Source organism: Homo sapiens, chromosome 4 (genome assembly GCF_000001405.40).
Source record: "Homo sapiens chromosome 4, GRCh38.p14 Primary Assembly".
NCBI classification, from domain to species: Eukaryota; Metazoa; Chordata; class Mammalia; order Primates; family Hominidae; genus Homo; species Homo sapiens.
In genome coordinates, this window is record NC_000004.12 from 78,279,731 (window position 1) to 78,294,396 (window position 14,666).

At 40.1% G+C, this 14,666-nt stretch overlaps 1 protein-coding gene and 1 non-coding gene across 3 annotated transcripts in view; both read left to right on the forward strand.

The window, feature by feature from the left end:
• The window catches only part of FRAS1 (Fraser extracellular matrix complex subunit 1), a 486,947-nt gene that overhangs the window by 222,408 nt on the left and 249,873 nt on the right, over window positions 1-14,666 (forward strand). For both annotated transcript variants that reach the window (NM_025074.7, NM_001166133.2), the window contains exons 11-14: window positions 1,668-1,703; window positions 3,090-3,237; window positions 4,675-4,818; window positions 6,675-6,809. In NM_025074.7, coding sequence (NP_079350.5) covers window positions 1,668-1,703; window positions 3,090-3,237; window positions 4,675-4,818; window positions 6,675-6,809 — 463 coding nt within the window. The remainder of the gene's footprint in view (window positions 1-1,667; window positions 1,704-3,089; window positions 3,238-4,674; window positions 4,819-6,674; window positions 6,810-14,666) is intronic.
• On the forward strand, window positions 9,255-9,320 carry SNORD161 (small nucleolar RNA, C/D box 161). Its single transcript, NR_145782.1, has one exon. It is a non-coding gene; the product is annotated as a small nucleolar RNA, C/D box 161 (small nucleolar RNA).

Sequence of the window (14,666 nt, forward strand, 5' to 3'; positions counted from 1 at the left end):
ATGTTGGGTATTGGAATGTTGATAAATTCATTATGTTTTTAAAAATATGCCAGTTGATCATAAAAACAACTGCTTCTTTGACCAGTCAGAATAGGATTACAGTAGTCCCCACTTACCACAGAATATGTGCCAAGGCCCCCAGTGGATGCTTGAAACTGTGAATAGTACTGATCCTGATTGGCATCAGTTGAAACAAATTTCTGTTCATGTTTTCCACCGACACAGTTAATGCCTTTTCCATCTTAACTAGCCACTTATCACACACTGTGGCTGTAACTTTCACAGTTTGAGATGCAACAGCAGAACTAGCACACATTTGTTTTTACTTCTTCACAGTTTCATAGAAAGATTTATTCTCACCTTAGACCTTAACAACCTCACATAATTTTTTTCTTTTCTTATTAAGTCAAGAACTTTCATCTCTTCACTTAAAGGAAGTACTTTGCAGCTTCTCTTTGGCATATTCAAGTTGCCAGCATCAGTACTCTTGGATTTTGGGCATTATTAAGTAAAATAAGAGTTACTTGAACATAAGCACTGTGATACTGAGACAGTGGCTCTGATAACCAAGATGGCTACTGAATAACTGGCGGGTGGCATCTACAGCATGGATATGCTGGACAAAGGAAGGACTCCAGGTCCTGGGCAAGATGGAGCAGGACAACTTGAGATTTTTTTCACCCTACTTAGAATGGCATGCAATTAAAAACTGATGAATTTTTTATTTCTTGAATTTTCCATTTAGTATTTTCCCAACATAGTTGACTGGGGTTAACTGAAACTGCAGGAAGTGAAACATGTATATGAATTAGGGATAAGGAGTTTGACTGGTAAACTGATTCCTCCATACTTTTTTTTTTTTTTTTGATTTGGGTAAATTACATCTGTCAACCTTCCAGTGTTTCTGTACATTCTGGGGAGGCAGTATTGTGTAGTGTTAACAGTGCAGACTCTAGGTTCAAATCTCTACTTTGCTGTGTACTGTAATCTTCGGCAAGTTACTTAATCCTCAGTGTAAACTAGCGATAACAATAGGACTTACCGCATGAGGCTGTAGAGATGTTATGTGTGAAGCACTTAGAACAGTGCTTTCTTGGCACATTTTTTTAAAAAGCTGAGAACATTGGCATTATTATTATTTTGCTGTTGGCATTGTTTCCTAGTGGTAGATCACACTTTAGTCATCCTCATTTCTTAAGAATTTAGGAGGTTTTAAAGCCTCCCTATAAATATTGAATTTATATTTTCTCAATCATAGTATCAATTTTCCTACTCATTTTTGGAGATAAACTCAGTGAAATTAAAGAAAACAAAGTTATTTTAAATAAGTACAAATCTCCATCATGCTCTGGCACCATGCAAAATTCAAGAATTTGCCCTTGCAAGTTTAGGTCCCTTGAGCATAAAGTCCTTAGTATTGAGGGGAATTGAAACCAAGTACTCAGGCACAAAGTGAGAATTCAGAAATATTTCCTAGGCACGTTGATTTCACCTCAGATTAGTATGCTTTTCTTGTTTTTTATAAGATAGATTTCATCTCTATTCATAACCAGTGAATAAAGTTGCATGTTCCTTGGGAAAAATGGATAACTCCTAATGAAAAAATAAAATAATCAGCCTAATGGTGTTTTTAGTGGCATAATAAAGACATTTCTCTTTGTTCCTAGATGTCATCAAATGCTAGTGAAGTTAAACGTATTCCAGTAAGTATAGCTTTTTAACTTGCACGTAGATCATTATAAAATTGTTTTATGTAATGATCTGCATGAAATATCATGGGGAAACTTAGGACCTTAGTATTTTTAACAGCCACATTTGATGGCACTATGATCAGGAATTAAGAATCTTAATGATAACTCAGACTTTGATGCATTGAACTTTTGCTCTTTAGCCAGTTGTTTTATGCAGTTGATAATTAATACTTCTCTAACCACAAGCTCCTACATAGATTCTTTCCCTTTCTTGTGATGTTTTTCTCTCCCTGATTCTTTTCTGGCCTAGAAAACTCAGTTTAACCATCAGTAGAGTTTTATGTACTGCAAAGTGCTGAAGAAAGAGCTTCTTGGGTTTGCAAGCATTCATTCCCCAAACAATCTCAAGTTTATTCTCTCCAGGTTGTCTACAGGACAATGTTATATGGTTTCTTTCAAAGGGAAAATGCAAGCGTTTAACACAGCAATCTTACAATAAGGGGTCTGATCTCAAGACGGGTCCGCTTTCAAATGGAAGAAAAGCACTTCTGCCTTCTCAAGATAGTATTGCTCACTTTTCTAACACTTAATGTTCATTCTGCTAAATACCGTCACATTAATTGTTTGAAATGTTTAATGTCTGTTGGCTTAATAAGCGTTTTATAAAATTGTTACTTTAAAATCTGCTCTCCTGTTTTCTCCTGTTTCACCTCCCTCATCACCCCAATACCTTCGGGTAAGAACCTCTGTCTCTTTCCTGTTAGCAAAAATGAATTGTTCTTTACAATTCAATTTGGGTTCTCTGCCGACTACTAATGTTTATTTTCGTAATTTGCTTGGCTGAAAAAGGTATTTTAGTGTGTGAAAGCTTAGGGCACATCTACAGCCCATTAAAAGTAGGCCTGCAAAAGTCTTAATTTTTAGAATACAATGACTCAACTGTTAACTCTTACTGTGGTAACCATAGGGAAATTCAGGTTTTTAGCCAAGTGTCCCACTGTTATTTTAGAGATTGTATTTAACTCACCTGCTAATCACCAGCTACACAGTAATCTCCTTTGATGTTTTTGGTGAAAGAGGTTGAGAAACAAGTTTTAAATGCCTTTTACATATTCTGTTAGTCCTAGAATACTTTCACAGCTTATCTCTGAGTGTGCCTAAAATCTTTCGGCTGGTTCTCTACATTGAAGTAAAACCCATTATGAACAAAGAAAGATAAATTCTGTGTTTTAAATTTAGGACTCTTTTGCTATTGTTCTGTTTCAGAGTTAGATTTGGCAGAGTACTGATTAGCTGCCTTCACTTTGTTCTTATGGAAATTGTAAGTTCTTCAGCAGCAAGCTCTCTTCTGAATTACTGCATCCTGATGACAATGCTGTTCTTCACTTTTTTGCGTAGGAGGGAGAGAAGTGGGAAGATGGCCCTTGCAAGGTGTGTGAGTGCCGAGGGGCTCAGGTAACTTGCTACGAGCCCTCTTGCCCACCATGTCCAGTGGGCACACTGGCCTTAGAGGTGAAGGGACAGTGCTGTCCAGACTGCACATCAGGTGGGTCCATGTCTCCTCTGTTTCTACTGAGATAGTTTTACTGCCAAAAAGCTCAGAGATCCTCTTCCCCACCCCCTTGCTTCTTTTCATTTTTATTTTTAGTTAACCAATGGGTTTGTTTGTTTCTTCATAATTTTTCTAACAAATGATGCTAATTAATCTTTGTCTGTGTAATTGCCAAACTCAACAGATTATGAGCATGTGACCTTGGGCAAGTCATTGACCCTCTTTAAACCTTAATTTTCTTGTTGATAAAATATGCCTTATGTATCTTGCAAAATTATTGTGAAAATCAAGCAACATGTTTGAAGACTTGTAAAGGTAAATCTGTCTTCCATTGTTCAAAATATAAGAATAATTTCTCAACATTTGTTATGGGTGTTCTTTGTTCTTAAGGTGAGCTATTGAACAGATGGTTCCTTTTGGAGTTCTCAAATGGGTTTTTAAAGTGTAAAGACTCATTAGTTTTTTCCAAAAGATAATTTTGTCTACTTGTTCTGCAATTCTGCTTTCAAATCACCTGGGGTTGAATTAGTTCCAGTTAATAATTGTTGGCAGGCACTGGAGTTGCTCTGGTTGAGTAGTAGTTTGCCTATAAGTTTAGTCTCTCTTGGAGAAGTGGCATTTTCTTCCATTCATATTTCATAATTAATTGTTTTCATTCATGGGCCATAATTTTCATATTGGCAGTTGCTCTTGTTGCACTCAGCTTATTTTGGCTAATTGCAGTATTTTTGTGAAGAGTTTATCAAGGAAAAAGCAAAGCAACTTTATGGCTTAATTATGTTACCTACACCAAAGTGGCTCTCTGGGCTTTCCAAAACAAACATTTAGCATATTATTATGCACTATATATATTGAAAATCAGGTCCTTGACAACTTCAAAACCTGAAAAAAGAAGTCCCTTGCTGATAATTACCACTAAATTCAGTGATAACCCCAATTACTGAAAATGAGATTTGAAATTTTGGAGAAAAAGAAGAAAATGGGGTGCATTTTTCTTAGATAAAAATAACTATTTTTCAACATTGTGGGTTTTATGTCTGAACTGTTTGTACATGTTGAAGCTTAAGAAGAACATCGGAGGTATCATAAATTATTGAATCTGTTTAAATAATACATTATGGAAGTAGTCATTCCTGTTTCTTGAAGTATTCCAGCAGGTAGAGGCTGTTCTTTTAGTATCTTCATGCTGGGGCTATGGGAGACAGTGATGAATTTCAGACAAGGAAAACTTCCTTGCAATCTTGCATTGGAATGTATTTTTTTTTTTTTTTTTTTTTTTGCTATTTAGGAGGCTTTTTCCTAAGTCCCACAGTTTTCTGTTCTTCATGTTCTATGTAATGCTACATACTTTGTAGATTCTTTTCTGAAGGATGTAAGAGAAATAATAGATGGAGTTCACAGAGTTCTCCCCTTCTTTGTCCTTGATTTCAGTTCATTGCCATCCAGATTGTTTGACATGCTCTCAGTCTCCAGACCACTGTGACCTCTGCCAAGATCCTACCAAGTTACTGCAGAATGGATGGTGTGTGCACAGCTGTGGACTGGGTTTTTACCAAGCTGGCAGTCTCTGTTTAGGTATGGCTCCAAGTGGACAACCCAGAGGTGGTGGTGTGTGGGAGATAGACTCATCAAAGGTTGTGATTCTTAAACTGAGGCTCAGTATTGTCAAGGAGGGGGTCATGCATGCAGCATGTTTTTGAGATGCACAACGTCTAAAAACCTCTAGAAGGTAGTAATGTCATCTATAGGTTACTTGCCCTCTCTACCTGCAGGTCTTTTTTTCTGACATTTTATAGGTATTTTGGTGCTTATTGGAAGACAGGTGATGTGGAGGTTGTTAGGTAGTCATAGTTAAATATTTTTATTTTTGAAGACTTTCAAGGATAGTAATATCAGGATACCTGGGCTCATTTCTTAAAGCACTCAATTAATCCGGGATAGAAACTTAGAATTGACATAGACCTTCAAGATCATTTACTGCAACTTTCTAATTTTGCAAATGGGGAATCTGTAGGCCAGAGAAATTAACCAACTTGCTCAATATCAAACAGATAGTTGGTAATAGAGCTTATCTCTTATGGGCTACCAGAGGATCCAGAATGGGTTTATGTGCATTTCTGGATGCTACATCTGAGAAGAACTTACTTGGGAGAGTTGACTTGGTTGATGTCAAATCCTAGTTACTATTCCCCTTATTTCTGACTTATGATGTTAATTATCCATTTTAAAGTGTGTAATTAGCCAGGTGTGGTGGCGCACGCCTGTAGTCCCAGCTACTCAGGAGGCTGAGGCAGGAGAATCTCTTGAACCCTGGAGGTGGAGGTTGCAGTGAGCCGAGATTGTGCCACTGCACTCCAGCCTGGGTAACATAGTGAGACTCCGTCTCAAAAAAAAAAGAAAAAAAAAGTGTGTAGGTTCATACCTGGCTGTGAATATTTAACCTCTCTCTGCTTCCATATTCTTTTTTTTTTTATTTGAGATGGAGTCTCACTCTGTCACCCAGGCTGGAGTGTGGTGGCATGGTCTCGGCTCACTGCAACTTCCACCTCCCGGGTTCAAGCGATTCTCCTTGCCTCAGCCTCCTGAGTAGCTGAGATTACAGGCATCTGCCACCACACCAGCTAATTTTCATATTTTTAGTAGAGATAGGGTTTTGCCGTGTTGGCCAGGCTGGTCTCAAACTCCTGGACTCAAGTGATCCACCCACCTATGCCTCCCAAAGTGCTGGGATTACAGGTGTGAGCCACTGCCACCTGGTATCTTCCACATTCTTATCTATAAAGTGAGAGTAATTCCAGTACCTTCCTCAGAGGGTGGTTATAAGGATCAAGTGTTTTGATACAGGTTAGGTGCCTAGCCTGATGTCTAGGATACAGTGAAGGATTAATAAGAGTTAGCTGCTTTTATTATTTTTGTAATTATTCACTCCTCCATACTTTCTTTCCTAATTCATATAATCTTCAACCTTTTTGAAAGTTACTTATATCTCTTTCATACAGTATTGGAAAAGGGGCAAGAGATCTTCTTGCTAAAAGTTTGAGTGACAAAGATATTGGGGGCTATTGGATAAGAGGAAAAGAACATAGACTCCTGAGCCAAACTGCTTGGTTTCAAATGCCAGCCTCATGTGACCATGGGCAAGTTGTTTAATCTCCCTGAGTCTGTTCCTCATCTGTAAAGTTGGGATTAATAATATCTACCTCCTAGGGTGGTTGTGAGAATTAAATGAATTCATATACGTAAAGCACTTCAAACAGTGGCTGACATGAACTGTGTGCTATACAGATGATGGCTGTTAAAATTATTTTTCTGCATTTTCTGTTTGGGACCTGGAGCCTCAAGATTGGGCTGTGTAAGCACTGGCATGGGGGTGGTGTCTTTCAGCTAATCAAATGGTTCCTTTCTCTTTCTTCAACATTATCTGGAGTCAGCCTGCCAGCCCCAGTGCTCCACGTGTACCAGTGGGCTGGAGTGCTCATCCTGCCAGCCTCCCCTGCTGATGCGGCACGGGCAGTGTGTGCCTACCTGTGGGGACGGCTTCTACCAAGATCGCCATTCCTGTGCAGGTAATCTCTGGCTGGGCCACAGTTGGGCCAGCTACCAAGACAGCTCCCCAACCCTGACCCCACCAAGTGATCTGGGGACACCAGGAGCTGGAAGCACTTTTTCAAATAAGAGAAGAAACTCTAAACAAGACTTCTGATGGGATGAGGAGAACAGTGTGTTAGAGAAATGATACATGTTGAGATGTTTTAATAACCTTATTAGGTTATTCGGTTCTTATCAATATGGTTTAGTGGACTTATATGCCTACTTTTATTTTATATTTTTAATTGAGATCTAGTTGAAATTCTTAATATCATAATAGTCTCTTGAGGTGGGAGTAGTCATAATATAATTTAATTTGTTTGTTTATACTTGGCCATTTTTTCAATAGAGATTATAAGTTTAAAAAGTAAATGTCTAAATAATTTTTTTAAATGCAGAAATGGAAGATGGGAGTTGTATTAGTCTGTTTTCACACTGCCATATAGAACTACCTGAGACTGGATAATTTATGAAGAAAAGAGGTTTCATTGACTCACAGTTCTGCGTGGCTGGAGAGGCCTCAGGAAACTTACAATCATGGCAGAAGGCAAAGGGGAAGCAAGATACGTCTTACATGGTGTCTGGAGAGAGAGAGAGTGAGAGAGAGAGATAATGAAGGGGGAAGTGCCACTTTTAAACCATCAGATCTCATGAGAACTCACTCACTATCATGAGAACAGCATGGGGGAAACTGCCCCCATGATCCAATCACCTCCCACCAGGTCCCTCCCTCGACACGTGGGGATTACAATTTGACATTAGATTTGAGTCAGGACACAGAGCCAAATCATATCAGGGTTAATGATGAAAACAAAGACAAGGGACAGAGATATGAGTTTGTCTTCAGGAGAATAGATAATTAGATGTGCCCAGAAACTAAGGCAGGGTGTGTAGTGGCAGGGAAATCTGAAAAGGCAGATAGACCAGGGGAAGGTCTTGGATGTCATGCCAGGGAGATGTGATAGCTACTCTCTGCAGCTAAACATAACGGGGGGTCAGTGATGAGAATCAGAAGGTGAGCCAATCTGAGGGGCAGCTGATATGCTCCTTTCTTTCACACCCTTGGTTAGACTTTCAGTAAAATCATTTGCAGGAAAATGATTGAGGTTAAAAAGGCTAAGTTCATGGTATTAATCAGATGTGCAGGCTAAATGAGCACTCGGGCCATATGCAGGTCCTATGTGGAGGAGGCTGATGGTCGTCTCCATTCCAGGTAATGGTCAGAAGCGGAGCTCATGGGGTTGTGGAAACCATGTTGAAAGGAAACACTAATACTGTTTATGCCACAGAGATATGAGTGTAGCAGAGCCTGTTTTGTGATCAGCCATGTTATAGAATATGGAAGGCAGAATAGCTTCCGAGTTTGGCTTGGAGGCTCTTTGGTGTCTACAGAAATATCACCTGCATGTCTATATCCTCAGCATCAAGGGCTGCACAAAGTTCTGAGCATTGTTGAACAAGTGTGTGATGAATGAATGAATGAGAATACTACCAGTTGGTGGTCCTTCAAAGACCAGTGTTTCAATAGAAGTCTCAGCCATAAAACAGAAAAGAACCCTTAGTGTTTATAGCTTATCATGTTCAGTTTACCTGTTACTTTAAAACAGGTTCAAAGTGGGAACATACAAATACCTTTATAAGTGTCTAATGGTTGGGCAATTTAGGTAAACTGCTGAAATTTTAATTTGATGAAATTATTGAATGTCTTTACTCCTTTCTTTTATCCCATCAAAGAGATCTCCTGCTAGTGCTCGTGACAGATTTGCCTTTAAAAGGCAACTAATTTCCCCTAGGTTTTACTCCTTCCTCTGTACCACCTCCATCCCCTGAAATACACACATACCACATACATATGACTTTTCTGGGGGGAGGGCATTTTCCTTTCTCCCATGCCCGTTGTTTTAATTGGTGATGCTAATGCTAGTTTAGGGCATTTTGAAATGGGTAATGTTTCATTTGATTAGTGGTTTACGTAGCTCACTGCTTCACATTCCATCCACATATCTACACACAAATGCCTCTAGTAGAAAGTTGCTGGGAAAATTTGTTCATGCTCCCTCCAGGGAATTAAACCAATTTGCTTTAGTTCAGGCTGGTTGCATTTTTATGCATAAAATAAGGAGAAAAAAAAAACAGAGCAAAAGGAGAGAGAGAGAGTGGATCTTAAAAATTAAAGCCAAAGTTGTGATCAATTTTCATATACTGTCTTGGCACTAAGATTATCTTTCCAGATAAGCTTTCTCAGCTTTGGAATTTTTTGCAATATTCATGCTTGTACCACTGTTGGTGACTTTTCACCACTGACCTTGGAAGTCAGTCACTCAGCTGGTGCTCTTCCAATACGTGCTAAACTTTTCAAAAAGAAGCCTGCCATTTTATGGTAACAACAGGTTTTTCTGGATTGATTCCTCTTGGCAGGGTCATTTATGTGATGATTGGGATAAGTTGCCACTTTATTGGCCCATTAAAACCCAAAGAAACTGAGTGCTGTGCTGAGGAAACTAATTACCAGAAATCACCTGATTAATATTCATGTTCACTATGTTGAATAAAGGGCAGAGTTGAAAAAAAGTAGCAGTTAAACATGGCTCTTCAACAAAAGAGTACAAGCAGGTAAACCAGAGGGAGTAAAGGAAAACACTTAGTCCTGCCTGAGAATCTTACCCATAGGGGCCCTTATCATTTTCTCTTTTCTCTTGAGTTTAGGGGTATATGCACAAACACAAACATGCATATAAACACATGTGCATATGTTAATACTATTGTTACATATTTTGCATGATTAAACTGAATAATGTTGTAATTATAGGCCACATGATGCACTCCATACCAGTCCCTGCTTCATTTCCCCTGCCTTTACAACTCCAGAGTTTGATGCTTTGACCACTGTACATTAAGGCTTAGCACTAGCCTGTTTTTATATGAACCTAAACCGGAGACAGATGTAGGTTGCCTTTTTTCACAGCAGGTAGGGCCATAGAGTGATCACCCTGTTAGTACCCAAAGCTCACATTTTAGTTCTGGCACTCAGACTTCTGCTTTAACCCCTATGTGTCCTTTGCCAACACCTGGATCTGATTAACATCCCCTCTTGCCCATCCTACCCCACTCTTCTTGACTCTGCAGTCCTAGCATTGGCCTTGTACTTTGGTTCCTGCCGCTTGCCCTGCTCTCACCCATTTCCAGGAATTAATAGCCCACTGCTTAATTACCTGGAGACTGATGGCCAGGCTTTATCCATGTATGGATGCTCCTTGCTCCCCCTCCCCACCTTCCCCACCACAATACTTGACCTTGCACTCTTCCTGCCTGTCTCTTTGGTATCACTTGCCTTGGATTTACTCTGTTCCCTCACCAGAACAGTGGTTCCATTGAGTCATCTTAAAAACTCAGGTATTAAATCTAAACTGGATCCAGGTGGAACTCGCCAGGTCCTGAGAACATTCTTTCTTGCTTGTCTTGCCCCTCTGTTCAATCAGCCTCTGTTCCACTCTGGTGGGACCACTGAACTGTGCACACAAATCTTAGATACGAGAGTCCATAAGAAAAAAAGCTAAAACAACCAACAACACGCACCATGTAAGATTATGTTAAAATGAGTAATTTTAACGTAAGGTTAAAATTATAAGGTTACAACTCATAAGGTTGTAATCTTTGAAAAGAGAAAGAGTACGATTTAGCCCATTTTTATACGTGTATCAATGTTTTGTTTGTCTACTTAAAACTTATTTTATTCACAAAGGCCTGAGGATAGAGCCATGTGTACTGCAGGGCAAATGCTGCCTTCATTCTGCAGGCGCAGATGTTATGGGGAGCCTGGCCCCAGTGGTTAAGAGCTTGGACCCTGGAGCTAAACCACCTGGACCACCTGGTTTCTTTTTTTCTTTCTTTCTTTCTTTCTTTTTTTTTTTTTGAGAGGGAGTCGCGCTCTGTCATCCAGGCTGGAGTACAGTGGCACAATCTCAGCTCACTGCAACCTCTGCCTCCTGGGTTCAAGCGATTCTCCTGCTTCCTGAGCAGCTGGGATTACAGGTGCTCACCACCATGCCTGGCTAATTTTTGTATTTTAGTAGAAACTGGGTTTCACCATATTAGCCAGGCTGGTGTCGAACTCCTGACCTCAAGTGATCTGCCCGCCTTGGCCTCCCAAAGTGCTGGGATTACAGGGGTGAGCCACCACACCTGGCCTCATTTTTTTGTTTGTTTGTTTGAATTGGTTCATGGTTTCTGTTATTTATTGCCTTTTTTTTTTTTTTTTTTTAAGACAGAGTTTTGCTCTTGTCACGATCTTGGCTCCTGGATTCAAGTGATTCTCCTGCCTCAGCCTTCCAAGTAACTAGCATTACAGATATTTGCCACCATGCCCAGCTAATTTTGTATTTTTAATAGAGACAGGGTTTCACCATGTTGGCCAGGCTAGTCTCAAACTCCTGACCTCAGGTGATCCGCCCGCCTTGGCCTCCCAAAGTGCTGGGATTACAGGCGTGAGCCACTGCGCCCGGCCTAAACCACCTGGTTTCTAATCTTGCCTCTGTCACTTACCTATTCTTTAACTCCACTCTTCAATTGCCTTATGGGTAAAACAGGGACATAATATCTGCCACATTGCACTGCTATGAAGATGAATGAGTGAATTCACATATTCCATTTAGGGCAGCAGTCCCCAACCTTTTTGGCACGAGGTACTGGTTTCATGGAAGACAATTTTTCCATGGACCGGGGAGCTGGGGGTGGCTTCGGGATGAAACTGTTCCAGCTCAGATCATCAGGCATTAGTTAGATTCTCATAAGCAGCTGCAACCTAGATCCCTCACATAGGCAGTTCACAATAGGGTTTGCACTCACTCCTATGAGGCAGAGCTTGGTGACAATGCTGCCTCACCCACTGCTTGCCTCCTGTTGTGTGGCCCAGTTTCTAACAGGCCACACACTGAAACTGATCTGTGCCTGGGGGTTGGGGACCGCTGGTTTAGGAGATGGTACCTGGTGTCTAGAAAGCCCTTCATATAAGTTTAGAGACTTGGGTTCTGCTTTCTATTGTCCTTCTTCCTTGTTCCTTTTATTTCATTTCCCCTTTCATTCTTTTTTGACCATTGTTCTAGGTCCTGAGTACATGAAGTGTATAAAGTAAATAAGATTCAGTCTTTGCCTATAGTGAGCTCACAGTCAAGGCAGGTTAGTTGTTGCTTATAGAGATGTAAAATAAAACAAAACAAACAAAAACAAAATCCAAAAGCCTTTGAAGTTTATTCTATATCTGAGTGCTGTATGGTCTCAGATTTTGAGACGTAAAGAATCAAACAACTGAACATTTTACAGGATTATAAGGGATAGGATTATTTTGAATGGCACCTCTACCACTTGCTGCAAGAGGGCTTTGGCAAACCATTTAACCTCTCTGAACTTCAATTTTTTCAACTGCAAAATGGGGACGATATTATCTACTTTAAACCATTATTATGAAGGTTAGAAAAGCTGTTTGAAATGTATAAATACATTATGCCTGGCCTTAGTATGTGGACTGTAAAAGGCAGCTATTGATATTATTGAAACCATTCCTTTATTTTTCAACCTATAGAGATAAAAACCAAATAGCTTTCATTAAGTAACAAAAAGCTTTCTGCCATTAATGTCTCATCTAAATAAAATCTGCTTTTATATGTTATGGAGAAGTAAATATATAGAGAACAGTATACTGTATTCTTTATAGCAAATTAAAATCCCTTTTTCTTTTAAAAAGGAAAGAAAATTTTAAGTGCTCAGATTAAACAATGAGAATCTATGATTATTTGTTTCTTAGCCAATATTGTGACATATTTAGAGGAAAAGTTTATAATAAAAAAACCTATAAAATTTACAACTAGGATGTTGACCTAGTTGAGATTTAAAAGCTGTGGCCTGAGCAGAGGACCTTCTGAAGTTAATTATTTGTTGGAACGATGGTTGACTGGAGCAGCCAGTCATTTGCAGAAATGAAGCACTGACCTTGCAAAGCCAGGTCCAAAGCAGCAGGGATTTAATGGGTCTTGGTGTTGTGTTCCAACACATGACTTATCCCAGCCTGGCTGTGCCCTGGGTGGACCTCTTGACAATGGCACCTATGAAACTACTGTTCTGAAATCCAGGAGCCCTCCTCGCAAGACAGGGGCCCCCCTTTCTCTGTTGGGATAGTCATGGCCAAGCTGGTGTCACCTCCATGGCCCTTGCAACATACCCCAGGATTGGAGGGTTAGTCTCAGTTTCATTGCCGGGTCACATACTCAGTTTAGGGGCCCTGCATGTTTCTACCACTGCCTTCACTCATTTTGTTCTACTCTTTAAATCCTATGCATTGTTCAGAACTTCTTTGGCATTCTACAGCAATTATGGTCCCTTACTAAATTGCTGACTGTCTCATAAAGGTGACTTGTTGCTTCAAGTGGTATCTCCTGTCTCTTCGATTCTGTTCATGCATAAATATTTGTGGAGCCTCTTCTATGTACCACGCCCTGTCCCAGACACCAGAGATACAGAGTGAAGCAGACAGAAAACTTCCCTCTAGTTAAGGAACTTAACTTCCTCAATGGGAGGAGAGTGCCTCTAAACAAATAAACAAGATAATATTAAATACTTAGATAGTTATCATTATATGAAATTATTATTATCAGTGCTATAAAGATACCTTACAGGGGAATATGATAGGAAATGATCAGTCATTGGGGCAGGGACATGCCGTATACTTCTGAATTTCACATGGTGCTAAGTATATCTGTGGCCCTCTGGAATAATTTTTGATAGAAAAAATGTGATAAACCATTGCATAGAGAGCAATCAACAGAAATGTACAGGCATGACTAAACTTTGGCTTACAGATGACCTATCTTCCATTTGGCTTCCACTATTTGCTCCTTGTCAGCAATTTCTGGCTAGTGGTGGCCTCAGGATAATTACAGACTCTCTATTTTTCTCACCCCTCTTTTTCTTCTCTTTTCCTCATGTTTAACATAGTTGTGGGCTTTATTAGAGTTGGGAATGTGACTTATAAAATCAACTGTCTTCAAAACTTGGGTCGTGTCCATGGAGTATTTCAGGCCATTCAGAAGGGAAGACAATAGGATTGCCTTCCTAGAATGTAAGTTTTTTTGAGTAAACAAGACCCAATGAGGCAGGTGACAACAGTGTTCCAAGGCCCCTCTCTCTTTGGATATTATATTCATATGCAGAAAAAATGGAGAGAAGAGGGGAAAACAGCTGGTGGTGTTGTGTCTGGGACCTTTGCTTTGGCAGGAAGCTGGCTGTGTTTGGCATTTGTCTTTGCCACTTCTAGACCCTTGCTGTGTATGCCAGAAGACAAATGACAGAACAAAAGTATCACATACCAGCAGAGAAAGCCTGCCACAGATGCCACAGAGTTTATCTTTCAGACAGATCCCATTCTTCCCGACAAATCTGAACCCCAAAGTATTTCAGCTATGGATTACAAACTAGTGACAAGTCTTCTGGCTTTCTGCCCAGTTTGGAAGGTTCTCAGTTATTTTAGCTAGACTGTATGGCATACGTTCTTTCTCTTCTCCATTCCCCACCCAAGCACTGTCCCTGTTCTGCCCTCCCCTGCTTCTATGCTGCTCACAGAGCTAACAGCACCTCCTTGTTGTTGCTGCTGAGATCTGAGCAGCTGTGTTAGTGCAGCCAGGAGGTCTGAAAACTCTCCCCATCAAAAGGTTGTTTTGGTTTGCGGTCCCGCCTTTGGCTCTTCAGTTTCAGTAGACATCACTGGAGTAGACAATAGGCATTTAATTAACAGGGGCCACTGGGTGTAGGATTGGGGAGGGAACACAGGGAGTCCTAGCAGCTGT